Source organism: Homo sapiens, chromosome 21 (assembly GCF_000001405.40).
Source record: "Homo sapiens chromosome 21, GRCh38.p14 Primary Assembly".
Taxonomy (NCBI): Eukaryota; Metazoa; Chordata; class Mammalia; order Primates; family Hominidae; genus Homo; species Homo sapiens.
In genome coordinates this window covers 36,470,369-36,482,873 of record NC_000021.9, presented here as the reverse complement: position 1 = coordinate 36,482,873, position 12,505 = coordinate 36,470,369, and the positions used below count along the sequence as shown (strand labels likewise).

The following is a 12,505-nucleotide window of genomic DNA, read 5'->3' as shown; positions in this document are numbered from 1 at the left end:
TGTTGTTACTATTGACACAAGCAGTCTCCTTAGGTCAGACCTCTGCAAAGATATCACAGGCCTAGCACCAAGGTTTTCATGGAAGCGTCGTGACTTTCACAGGATATGCTGTTGATGAATAGAGCAAGGTCAAGTTTTACCACAACCTTTACTCTAGCAAGTTAGCTAAGGATCCACTAACTTCAGACTCAAGTTGTCAGCATGTGTGTCGCTCAAATCAAAGGGGACCCAAAACGGTAACCCAAACCCCAGGCATCTCTGCATACATAATTTTCCCTTCATTAATTTGTTTAGTCAACAAACTTTTGCCAGCTTCCTAATGTGTCAGACCCTAGTCTGGCTCCGTGAGAAATCAAAAAATGAATCAAGCTTCAAAGACCAGTTGAGATCAGAATAAAGGTGATCTATGTATCCATCCATCTATCCATCCATCCATCCATCCATCCATCCATCCATCCATCCGTCTATCCATCCATCCATCCATCCATCCATCCATCCATCCGTCAGTCTATCCATCCATCCATCCATCCATCCATCCATCCATCTATTGAAACATTGACTAACTTCCATCATACCCAGCCCATCAGGATAGTTGCTGCCCTAACTCAATGGGATGATTTTAGCAGTGTTAGGAAAATGCTCAAGACCTTCCTCTTCCAAATCCTCACTTACCCCTGATTGGCATTCGAAGTTTTACTATTAAATCTTTATTCCTTAGACTTAAAAATACCTCTTGGGAGGGACAAAATGTTGAGCCATTATGAGTCATTTACACCTTAGAGTTTAAAACCAGACCCAAGGGCAGACGTTGATGGAAGTTGGAGGAGCCAAGAGAAGAGTTCCCTGCCCACTCAGGGAGAGGATTGGGAGAGAAGGGCTGGAGACTCGGGACCAGCCTCTCTACCCCCTCATTTTCCCTCGCTCTGTGTGTGCCTGTGGCCCTGACCCTGAGAGGCAGGAGGGGAAGGTGTAGTGCTAGCCAGGCTCCCTGCTACTCATACGTGCTGGAGTCCAATAACTATTTGATGAACGAAGAACAAATCAATACCTTTCTATTTAGATTTCGTCACATCATGTTTCTGTGACTTTGCCCTCTGGTCCAGGAAACACTGTTTTATCCAAGAGGAGCCTTGGGCCAGGGTCACAGGTCAGGGAATTTTCAGGCTTCAGCCCAGAACAGGAATGACTTGTTCCAAAGAAAATCAAGACTAATAAAGATTTCACAAAATATCTACAAAACAGAACGTTACGTCCATTTCATTCACTGTCACAGTGTAATATCCCTAAAAACTATCATAATATTTTAAAGCAATTTGGAGTTTACATTTTCTCTCTGCGGGGTTTCCTAATAATACACAACGAATGCCAAGAAATCAAAGCCAGTTGTAAACTAAATGTAATGAACTTGTAGCCAAATCATCTCAAAGACAAAGTTATAAAAAATAATTTCTAAAAAGTGCCCAGCATAAAATTATAGATAATATGGGCACATTTTACTATTATGCTGGTACCCCTATATATTCCAATATTCTTAAAATGGTGTTCAGCAAAGGCGATGATTCTATCTCCAAGTTAGTTCATTCCTTTAACAGTTTCATTTCAGCCTGTGTAACTGCTTTAGGTGGGGTGGAGGATCTAACGAAAAGGTCTATTTCGTTGTCAGGTAAAATTCTGCGTGGTTTTACGTAACTTTCCTGGCATAGATAGTGAAATAGTATATCTGGTGGGAAACCTCTAAGGATAGAGGATCTGGGCCTATAAATGACCTGAACCAAAGTTGTTTTTGTTTGTGACTGTTCACTTCCAAAAACAGACCAAAAAAGCTATGCAGATGTGGGTTATGTCAATCCTCCATCAATAACATTTAACAGATGCTTCCGAATGCCTGCTCCAAGCTCCTGACACTACTGGATGTGCTGTCTTTCTGTCCTTCACCGTCCCATTGCCAGGGACACAAGGGCCAGGCTTTTGGTCCATGCCCAGGGCGTTTGTCCACACCAGATTCCTTCGCTGCATCTTTTTTTTTAAACACCAACCAGAGCCCGGCGGATTGATGCACACTGTGGAAGACACGCAGAAGCCCAAGTAAGTCCCTGGCCCTGGAGCATTTGCGGTGTGCTCAGTGACGAAGGGGCGGAAATTCTTGTCATGTTAAATCCATGGCTCTCAGCACACTTCTCAATTCCAGAATCGCCCACAACGATTTTCAAAATTGAAAAGGAACTGGGATTTGTGCCTTGAGAGGGTCCCCAAACCTTGGAGCCACTCAGGGTGCTGGCTTTTGGCTACACATTCCCACCAAGAGATTTCATTCTTGCAATTTTCAAGGCCAAACATCTCTTAATCAGCGAATCATTCCTCAAAGGGCTGGAGGCGTTCCCAGCCCTGACCAGTTCCCTCAGCCACCCTCAGGTGCTGCCTTCACTTCCAGCAGAACTCTCCCTAGCCCTCCTGGACATCGCTGTCAAGCAAGTGTCTTGACCTTCCAAGAAAGTCACCTTCTTCCGTCAGCACTGGTTTCACAGTATGCCATGTCTCTTATCTCCAACTTGTAGCAAATTGTCCCTCTTTCCACACTGTGCTCCTTGACCCGTCCAGCTCCACATTCCACCAACAGACCATCCGAATCACCCACAGCTGCAGCTGTAGAAAAAAGCAAACAAACAAAAGCAGTTGCTCGTTGATCAGAATCGACCAGCATGCATCTAGGGCCCATAGCAGCCTAAAGGCTGAGAAGCTGAGTTACTCAATAGCAGAAAAGTCCAAAGCAGTGTGAGGACAACCGCCAGGTGGTGGCTCAGAGGAGGACACAGTCGCTGTGGGCAGGTGGTCAGGGCGCAGGAGGGAATGAGCTGTGGATTTTTAGTAATCTACAACAATCAGGCAGTTCCAGGACACAGGGAAGTGAGTGTGAACAGCCAATGGACCCGGAGCCGAGAGCCTGGGCAGGCGTAGGCTGGACTATGGACGCCCTGCAACCCTGCCAGGCTGGGAAGGGGAGGCTTGATCCTGAGCGCGTGTTAGGAAGGAGATGCCCAGGTTCAGGTGTATCGTGCATTTTTTTTCCACAGTGCAGAAATGACATTTCTGGTTGGTCTTGAATGTCTGCTCTGGCCAAGCCACCTCCTCTCATGCTAGCTAACCAAGTGGCACGTGTGCCCACGCAGGCCATTCTAAGGAACACTGTAATTGTCTAGACAATTTTCTCTCAAATACTCCGTCCTGGAAGCGTCTGGTTGGCAGAAGAGGGAAGGCAGGAGGGTGGCAGCGTCCCGGCTGAGTCCTCTTGCACATGGGAGCTGGAGTCCAGCCAGGCTCCAGAGCGGCTCCGGCTGGCAAGGGACCTGAACAGGAAGATGAGACTCGAGGTTTTCTGCATGTGAGTTTGGGGTGAAGCTGTGGATGTGGGGTGGGCGGGCTGGGGTTGACAGTCATCTGTTTTGGAAGCCCTTAGGCCCTGCCGGTTAGATGTGCATGCAGCCAGGGGTCCGAGCGTTCTCCAGAGGAAGGGACCGTGCTGGCCCCTACAGGAAAGGAAGCTGCAGGCTGGTCTGGGTGGCCTCCAGAGGACCCCACGCAGCTGGCATGAGGGCAGCCAGGCTCCTAATGAGCCAGGAACGACAATAATCCAGTTCCTGAGTGTTTGGGCAGAACTCTTTTCATCGCTTACCAGGCCTGTTTGGGAGGAAGGACTGAATCTGTTCAGTGTTTTGAGGCCACAGCTCAGCTCGGGGAGCTCAGCGCCACTGCCCCCTTCTGTCTGCTGGGACTCCCTCGTTTTTCTGCAAAGAGGGCCAGGCAGACTGTTCCGAGTTTCCAGACTTGGGAACATTCTCCTGCTCCCTAAATACACCCCTGCCCTCCAACACAGACACATATTGGCATGGCAGGAGAGGGGGGGAAGTGATAGATCTCTCTCAATGAGGGTAAAAAATGGTGCTGAAGAGGAGAAATGCCATGCAATTTGAGACGTGAGTTAATCCTTCAGTTACCTGGGGCCCCACATCCCCAACAGCTGCCACGGCTTCCCAGGATGGGCAGGAGGGACCCAGGCAAAATAGAAAAGGAACCAGGATTAGTGTCCTGAGACCGTCCCCAAACCTTGGAGTGCTGTCCTCACTGGCTTTAACTGGGTGCTGGCTTTAATTCCCGCAGTGTTCAAAGCCAAACATCTCTTGATCACTGGGTTTCATTTTTGAAGTCTTGGGAAACCAGAGGACAGTTCATCATCGTGTGCTTCCAGGGGCTGGGCCCAGGTCTGCTGTGAAAAGATGCTGTCATCTGAGCTCAGCGTTCATGCCCGTGTCTCTCAGTCACTCACTGGAGTTGGGGACGGGCTTATCTGTTAGGATGATAAAACTTCCATAGCATACGCCTTGCATTTGCTGGTATCTGTCCCAAAGGGCTTGTCAGTTTTTACATATATTATCTCAGCATCTTCTAGATGTCTCTGCAGAGGAGCTATTCCTATGTAGACAGTCATTCCTGTGTAGACAGTGAGTAATAGGCTGAGCAGCTTGCCCAAGATTAGTCAGAATTGAAGCCAGCGCCAGCCCCCATCCTTATCTGGCTCCAATCTGATTTGCATATCTCAAGCTTACTGTGTTTTATTTACCCATCTGTATAAAGGGTTCAATGCTTCTTAAGACATCTACAGAAAAATCTATAAAAAGGAAGACACGTAGATTCTTCCTTTGGTGCTATGAAAATGTCACTATTAAATATTTCCTGTTTTCCAGTTAGTTTTTAGTTTTTAGGTAAAGATCAATAAAATGGAATATGTCCATTATTGTTTTTAAAAAAATCATTCTGTTGCCTATATATCAGAAAAGATCTTTCATTACGCAGAGTAAGAAGTCTAAAAGTCTGTTTTCAAGGCTAGTGCCAATGTGTTTTTAAAACGCAGGTGGCCAGCCTTGCCAGTTCAGGAATGATTCTTGGCGTTTTCAAACTCAAACGTTCCTCCTTCCAGCTAATCTGTGGATTCTTCACTCGCACCATTTGCAGGACAAGTGGCTGCCAGGGCCAGGGACTTTTCACCGGGTGACCAACAGCAACATAGTGTGGGGAATTTTCTACTCTGGGCCATTTGCTGAGAGGGCTCCTGGGCCTAAGCTGCTACCACCTCCTTTATCTCTCCCTGTCGGGTGACTCTATAAAAAGACAGGAGAAGCTGAGGCTCATTCACTCACTTTGTCCACTTCATTCCCAAGAGAAGTGTCGGGGGGACCTGCCAGGCTTAGGGGAAGCTCTGAGCTGAGCCCCTTGTGCAAAGAGGCGAGCCACCCAGAGGCAGCTGTTCCCTTCTAGGCCTGGAAGTGCACATGCTCATCTACAGCTTTCTTGGAAGAAGAAAGAAACAAAAACTGAGATTTAGAACACCAGGTCTGTTTCCACTGGCGGCCACTCTTGGGCACTGGAGACCAGCAAGAGCTTTGTTTTTAAAAGGCTCTTCCATGGCAGATATTCGCAGAGGCATCAGGGCTACACTTAAATGAAGGTAAAGTAAACATATGAAACCATATTTTCGATTCTACAGAACACTGCAAGAGCGTCTCTGTTCCTTTCAACATTCTAACTCAATGCACTCATTGTTTTAAGGGGGGAAAATCCCAATGTCCAGTTCCCAGCATGTCCATAGCAGGCAGGGACAGCTTCACAGGCACATGATCTGTGCAGTTACAGGGAGCCCCGTGCTCAGACAGGCTTGCACTTGGCTTGATGTTCTGCAGACGCCATCTTGACATTCTTAATAATTTCTGAACAAGGGGTTCTGTATTTTCATTTTGCACTGGGTTCTGCAAATTATCTAGCAAGTCCTGAGAGCAGGCAAAGGTAACCTACAGGGCCTGGTACTCTTCAGAGCAAATGCACAATCTGGCCACTGTGTGTATGTCTAAAGGCTAAGCCACACCTGCCATGCACTACTTTAGCTGCAAGGCCTTTGCTTACACAAGGATTTCTGCAATCTGAAATCTCATACCTGACCCAATTAATTCTAAATGTCTTTATATCAAACTATCACAGGCTTTTCTGGAAGACTCACCCAATCATTCTCACCACTGTGAGTGTATGCTTTGGGGCCTGGGCCAGGAGGAGATTTGTTTTCAAAGGTCATCCATGGGCCGAGGGCAGTGGCTCACGCCTACAATCCCAGCACTTTGGGAGTCCAAGGCGGGTGGATCATGAGGTCAGGAGTTCGAGACCAGCCTGACCAACATGGTGAAACCTGGTCTCTACTAAAAATACAAAAATTAGCCAGACATGGTAGCAGGCGCCTGTAATCCCAGCTACTCAGGAGGCTGAGGCAGGAGAATCACTTGAACCTGGGAGGCGGAGGTTGCAGTGAGCTGAGATCGCACCACCGCGCTCCGGCCTGGGTGACAAAGTGAGACTCTGACTCAAAAAAAAAAAAAAATAGTCATCCATTAAAATATAAATGCCTGTGGGGTAACTTCTTGGCCAAGATTAACAATGAGGGAGGCTCAGTGCCCACAGTGGGCTGGGGTCCCAGGAAGAGGACCCAGGTTGTAAGAACAGGCTTCCGTGGGGCTCTGGGAAGGTAAGAGCCAGAAGGCAGCAAGATAAATAAAGAACCACCCCCCCAACCACTTTTTCTAGATGGCAGAAGGCAAGGGTGCAGGGCCACAGGAGGGAAGGTAAGATTGTAGCTGGAGAAGAGGATTTCAAGCGAAGGGAGTGGGAGAGCCTAGCCTTATGGGTAGGTGAGACAATATTCCAGGGACAGGCCAGAGACACCTGTCTCCATCTCAGGAGATCCCAAAGAGAGCCTGCACTCAGCAGGCAGGCCCAGCAGAACAGACATCTGAACTATGACTCTCTGTTAAACCGTTTTGGACTCTTTAAAGCTCCTAATAGGACCTTTAAAAGTTACATCAGGCCAGGTACGGTGGTGGCTCATGCCTGTAATCCCAGCACTTTGGGATGCCGAGGAGGGCAGATCATTTGAAGTCGGGAGTTTGAGACCAGCCTAGACGGAGTGAAACCCCGTCTCTACTAAAAATACAAAAATTAGCTGGGTGTGGTGGCGTGCACCTGTAATCCTACTGTGCTCCAGCCTGGGTGACAGAGCAAGACTCTGTCTCAAAAAAATAAAATAAAATAAAATAAAAAAAGTTAAATCAATGAAGCCAGCGGGGCTGGGTGCAGTGGCTCACACCTGAAGTTCCAGCTACTCGGAAGGCTGAGGCGGGAGGATCACTTGAGCTCAGGAGGTCAAGGCCGCAGGGAGCCGTGATTGTGCCACTGCACTCCAGCCTGGCCAACAGAGTGAAAAATAATTTTTAATGAAATAAATAAGCCATTGGTTCTCAAACCTGCCTGCACATCAGAATCACCGGGTGGGGGAGAGGAGCTCGAAAATTCCCATGCATGGACCCCACCCCAGTCAGCGAATCAGAATCTCTGGAGGTAGCCAGGGCATCCGGATCTTTTTAAAGCTCTCCAAGGGCTGCGGCTACAGCAGGAGGGTGGAGAGCCACTGATCCAGGTGACTTCTCCACGATGAACAGACCTTCTCTATTGTCCTCAATGTCCCTCCATCCCAGCTTTGACGCCACGGCCCGCCATGATGTTCACACCTTTGTGTGCACGCATATTTCCCTTGGCTGTCTGCCTTCATCATTTTCCCCTAGGAAAATCCCCACCAGGTCCAGTCCAGCCCTTTGTCCACTTGGGACCCTCGCAGTGCAGTTGATGGTGCTGGGAAAGGCTGTCCGGCGTGATAGTCTATGGTACCCGCAGGACCACTTGCCCCACCTGCACCCGGCACTGACTAGCACTTGACCCCTTGACTTGGTCCAGGCCTGCGGTCATTCTCCTGGATGACCATGGTCTCCTCCTCTGTGCTCAAGCCTCCCGCACCTCCTCCCCCATCTCCTGTCTCAAGACATCATGTTGCTTCTTATTTCCCTGAGAAACTTGGAGCAAACTCAGAACATGCGTTATTGCCCACTGACATCTCCCCCAGCCTCCTGCTCCCGCCTCCCCTCCCGTTCTGGAGTGAGTTCTCTGCATGCTGGTCAGAGCTGGTCTCTCCATGTGCACACAGGATCCCTACTGCCCCTACAGATGTTTCCCTCCTCGCTGAACCATTTCCTCAGGCATGCAAACATGCTTCCATGCCTCTCATCTTCAAAACAACAGCAAAACAAGGGTCCTCTCTTGCCTACACATCCCACTGGCAGAGGTTTCTAACTCTTTTGGTTTAGTTTTTTGTTATCGGTGTTGTTCTGGGTGGCGGGATGGGGATTGCCTGGGATTCCTTTGGCAATCTGGCGAAGCTGATGTATTCTTCTCAGCACAATACTTTTAAATGTGTAATATAACACATAACATGCAGGATTATAAAGGAAGTGAATTATAGTAAAACATAGTTATCAAAATATTTTAGTGCAATTCTGTTCCTAGTAATGGACGACCTTCCTTATTAATGCATTACATCATGAGGTCTAGCAAGCATCTTATAAGTATCATTTGAAATTGTTAGAGTGATAAATGTCCTTTGCAGGTATCTGCAACGCCTGTAATGCGATGCAAAATATCATGGTCTCTATTGCTGATTAAGGCACAGGCACTGGTCATATTGCTGTAGGTGGCTGCCTACATTCAGGATTGAAGGAAATGCTAATTGTCAGTGAGAGGTAGATGAAATAGAAGATGTCACTTTTTTTCCTGGCTGAGTTGACAGATATCCTGAGGTCTATGGGCCCTGGAACCCATCCTAAAACTGTTGCCTCATTTCCTGATTCCCCTGGAGGGTCCAAGTTCCTGAAAGAATTCTCTGGGCTCATTCCCTCCTGTCCCTCTGTCCCTATTCTCTCTTGAACCCACTCCAATCAACTCCGCCGAAACTGAGCTTATCAAGGTCTCCAATTTCCTTCATGTTGCTAATCCAGTGACCACTTCTCAGTGCTCAGATGACTTGATTTATCAGATTACTTGACTTGACAGAGTAGATTGCTCTCTCCAACATGGAGCTCTGTCCTCCCTCACCAGTCTCCTCTGGGTTGACCGTTCACTATCGCCCATTCCTACAGCCCGTGGCTGGCTCCTCTTCCTACCTCTATCCTCATCCCTCCCCTGATGTTGGAGGGTTCCTAGAATCAGCCCTGGAGCCCCTGCTCCTCTCTATCTAACGTTCCCTCCTAAGAGACTCCATCCCATATTTTAATCCCATCTCCATGCGGTGGTGACACAAACAGACTTCTCCAGTTCAGTCCCTCCCTGAACCCTGCACTTACATATGCAACCATGGTTATCCCCAGGTGGGTAGGCACAGACATCTCAAACTGAACAAGTCCAAAAGAAAATTCCTCTCTTCTGCCCTTCATCCTCTGTATCAGTCAGAGTTCTCCAGAGAAACAGAGCCAATCGAATATGCATTTATATAGAAAGAGATCTATTTATTCTAAGGAATTGGCTTGCATGATTCTCAAGGCTGGCAAGTCCAAAATCTGCAGGGTGGGCCAGGCACAGTGGCTCACACCTGTAATTCCAACAGCCTTGGGAGGCCAAGGTTGGAGGATTGCTTAAGCCCAGGAGTTCAAGACCAGGCTGGGCAACATAGTGGGACCTCCATCTCTATAAAACATTTTTAGAAATTAGCCAAGTGTGATGGCACATGCCTGTAGTCCCAGCTACTCAGGAAGCTGAGGTGGGAGGATCACTTGAGCCTGAGAGATCAAGACCAGCCTGGGCAATATAGCAAGAGCCCATCTATAAAATGAAATTCTGCAGGGTGGGCTAGCAGTTTGGAGACCCAGGATCACGGACACTGCAGTTTCAGTTGGAAGGCAGCCTGCTATAGAGCTGAGAAGGGCTGATGTTGGAAATAAAGGTCAAACACAGTCTGTTGGAGAGAGTTTCTTGCTCAGGTGAAGCTGCATGTTATGGACTAAACATTTGCATTCTCCCAAAATTCCTATGTTGGAGCCCTAAGCCCCGATGTGATAGTATTTGGAGACGGGACATTTGGGAGGTCATTAGGGTTCAATGAGGTCATGAGGGTGGGTGCCCTCACAATGAGATTCGTGCTCTAAAAAGAAGGGAAAGAGAGAAAGATTTCCTCTGCCTGCATGCAAAGAAGACGTCAGGTGAATTTCCACCAGGAACCCAAGCAGCCAGAACCTTGGTCTTGGACTTTCCAGCCTCCGGAATTGTGAGAAAATTAATTTCTGTGGCTTAATCCAGCAAGTCTGTGGTATTTTGTTGTGGCAGCCTGAGCTGATGGAGACACCAGTTTTTTCTGGTTCCAGTCTGGCCTTCACCTGACTGGGTGTGGCCCACCCACACTATGGAGGGCAATCTGCTTTCAATGTTAACCTTGTCCAAGGACTAACTTCACAGAAACATGAAGAATAGTGTTCAATCATATATCTGGGCACCCCATGGCCCAGCCAAGTTGACACAAAAAATTGATCATCACATCCTCCAAACCCAGATCTCCAACCCTCTTCAAGCTCTCAATAAGTGGCAACTCCATTCCTCCAGTTGCCCAAGACAATAACCTTAGGCACCTGTGTCTCACACCCCGCAGCTAAACCATCAGCACATCCCGCTAGCCTCACCTGAATATAGAAACTGACCTCTTCCTGGCACCCACCTTTATTTCCACCACCTTGGCTCGGCCTCCTGGCATCTCTTACCTGAAAGATCACAAGAACCTCCTGTTTGGTCTCCCTAATTCAGCCCAGACGTAACCTTGGACAAGTTATGTAACCTTTCTACACTTCAGTTTCCCTATCTGTAAATAAAGATGGCAAAATGCGCATTGCGATTTGTTTAAGAGTTCATTGCATGCCCACAGAAGCACTTAGCACATGTTTGGCATATCATAAACACTCTGGAACTTTAACTATGACTGTTTTTACTCTTATCATTAACAACTAACTGCTTTGGAGCACCTGGGCTTCAAAGGCTAAATTTACAGAGAATGAGTTTTAAACCTCATGTTTAATAGTATTTTCCTTACCATTAGAAAATCTTAGCCTTATGTTTTCATTTGACACATTTTAACCACTGCAGTTTATCCCCAGTTCAATTCTCAAGTAAATAATTTTCAGAGGCTTACGAAATTCACAGAATAGTTGTCTAATTCATGAAGGTTTTCAGCCAGGTGTGACAATGTCCTATTGCTTGTTTGGGGTTTGCTTTCTTTTTCTATTTTGCTGTAAGTCCTGACTAAAGGCGGAGCCTAGTGGGCTCTGCTGGATTTCCAAGGTAAAGCTTCAGCAGGCTTCTGAGTCACCTTATTCAAATCTGGACTCTGCCCCAAATTTGGGGCTTTTATGCTCTATGAAATCAAGACATGTTGACTTAAGAAAACCAGACACCCAGCCTGAAAAGGTCAGTCACCAATTATACCCCAGCCAATTGCACACAAGCTGGAGACATGAGCCCCCCCAAACTCTCTGTGAGCTAAGTGAATTCACACACTTTTTAAGCCTGGAGAAGCTGAGTCATTTGATTACTATATGGCTTACTTACTATAGATTGTGTTTGCACTTGAATTTTCAAATTTGCAGGGGACTTTCCAGATTCTTCTTTCTCCATGTCCTCTACCTTTTCCTTAGATTTTGTCCTCCACACTTTGAGACATGAAGCTAACCATGGCTTTGTTTTTTGTTTTTATGTTTGTTTGTTTTTTGTAGAGACAGGATCTCACTATGCTGCTCAGGAATGGCCTCGAACTCCTGGAATCATGCAGTCCTCCCACCTTGGCCTTCCAAATGTTGAGATTACAGGTGTGAGCCACTGCACCTGGCCTGTTTTTATCAATGACAAATGTGAAGCCACCAGATCACACTCAATGCCTGTCCTGGAAGGGGACGCAGTTCTTATAATCACAAATGAGGTTTTTTTGTTTGTTTGCTTTTTGAAATACGATGTTGCTCTCTCACTCAGGCTGGAGTGCAGTGGCACAATCTCTGCTTATTGCAATCTATGCCTCCCAGGCTCAAGCCATCCTCCCACCTCAGCTTCCAAAGTAGCTGGGATTATAGGCTTGAGCCACCATGCCCAGCTAATTTTTTTTTATTTTTAGTGGAAATAGGGTTTCACCATGTTGACCAGGCTGGTCTTGAACTCCTCAGCTCAAGTGATCCTCCCACCTCAGCCTCCCAAAGTGTTGGGATTATAGGCCTGTGCCATGGGGCCTGGCCGAGCATTTTCTCTGTAATTCCCCGTGCCACCATTCAGCTACTCTGCTGTGTTTGTTTCCTGGGGCTGCCATGACAAAGCACCACAACCTGGGAGGCCTGAAACAACAGAAATTTATTCTGTCATGATTCTGAAGGCTGGAAGCTTGAAACTAAGGTGTGGGCAGGCTGGTTCCTTCCAGGGCTGTGAGGGAGCATCTGTCCTGGGCCTCCTGCTGGGCCTCTGCGGGTTGCTGGCGATTCTCCGCGGGTTGCTGGCGATCCTCCACATTCCTTGACTTGGTAACTTCTCGCTCCACTCTCTGCCTCCGTCTGCACATGTTCTT

General features: G+C 47.5%; 1 protein-coding gene and 1 long non-coding RNA gene across 9 annotated transcripts in view, besides 3 other annotated features; one reads left to right on the top strand and one right to left on the bottom strand.

Moving 5' to 3' along the window:
• Positions 1 to 12,505, bottom strand: part of CLDN14-AS1 (CLDN14 antisense RNA 1) — a 68,202-nt gene that overhangs the window by 15,653 nt on the left and 40,044 nt on the right. The window contains exon 3 of one of the 3 annotated variants that reach the window (NR_183529.1): positions 1,049 to 2,643. The exons of 1 other annotated variant lie outside the window; for it this stretch is intronic. This is a non-coding gene — a long non-coding RNA (CLDN14 antisense RNA 1). Of the gene's footprint in view, positions 1 to 691; positions 2,644 to 12,505 lie in introns of those variants that run through there. One more of the 3 variants, NR_183531.1, reaches the window with a different exon arrangement.
• Positions 1 to 12,505, top strand: part of CLDN14 (claudin 14) — a 115,949-nt gene that overhangs the window by 93,696 nt on the left and 9,748 nt on the right. The window contains exons 1-2 of one of the 6 annotated variants that reach the window (NM_144492.3): positions 2,752 to 3,379; positions 5,311 to 5,500. The exons of 2 other annotated variants lie outside the window; for them this stretch is intronic. The gene's annotated coding sequence lies outside the window, so the exon portion shown is untranslated. Of the gene's footprint in view, positions 1 to 2,751; positions 5,501 to 12,505 lie in introns of those variants that run through there. 3 more of the 6 variants (XM_047440736.1, NM_001146079.2, XM_047440735.1) reach the window with 3 other exon arrangements.
• Positions 4,424 to 4,473: an enhancer, noted in NCBI's record as "active region_18436". NCBI's record gives its function as "activates an Ori minimal core promoter by ATAC-STARR-seq in GM12878 lymphoblastoid cells {active_cell/tissue: GM12878}" and the evidence as "EXISTENCE:reporter gene assay evidence [ECO:0000049][PMID:35858748]".
• Positions 11,339 to 11,398: an enhancer, noted in NCBI's record as "active region_18435". NCBI's record gives its function as "activates an Ori minimal core promoter by ATAC-STARR-seq in GM12878 lymphoblastoid cells {active_cell/tissue: GM12878}" and the evidence as "EXISTENCE:reporter gene assay evidence [ECO:0000049][PMID:35858748]".
• Positions 11,894 to 12,393: an enhancer, noted in NCBI's record as "H3K4me1 hESC enhancer chr21:37842779-37843278 (GRCh37/hg19 assembly coordinates)". NCBI's record gives its function as "activates a minimal SCP1, AML or CMV promoter by ChIP-STARR-seq in primed H9 embryonic stem cells {active_cell/tissue: H9 hESC(primed)}" and the evidence as "EXISTENCE:reporter gene assay evidence [ECO:0000049][PMID:30033119]".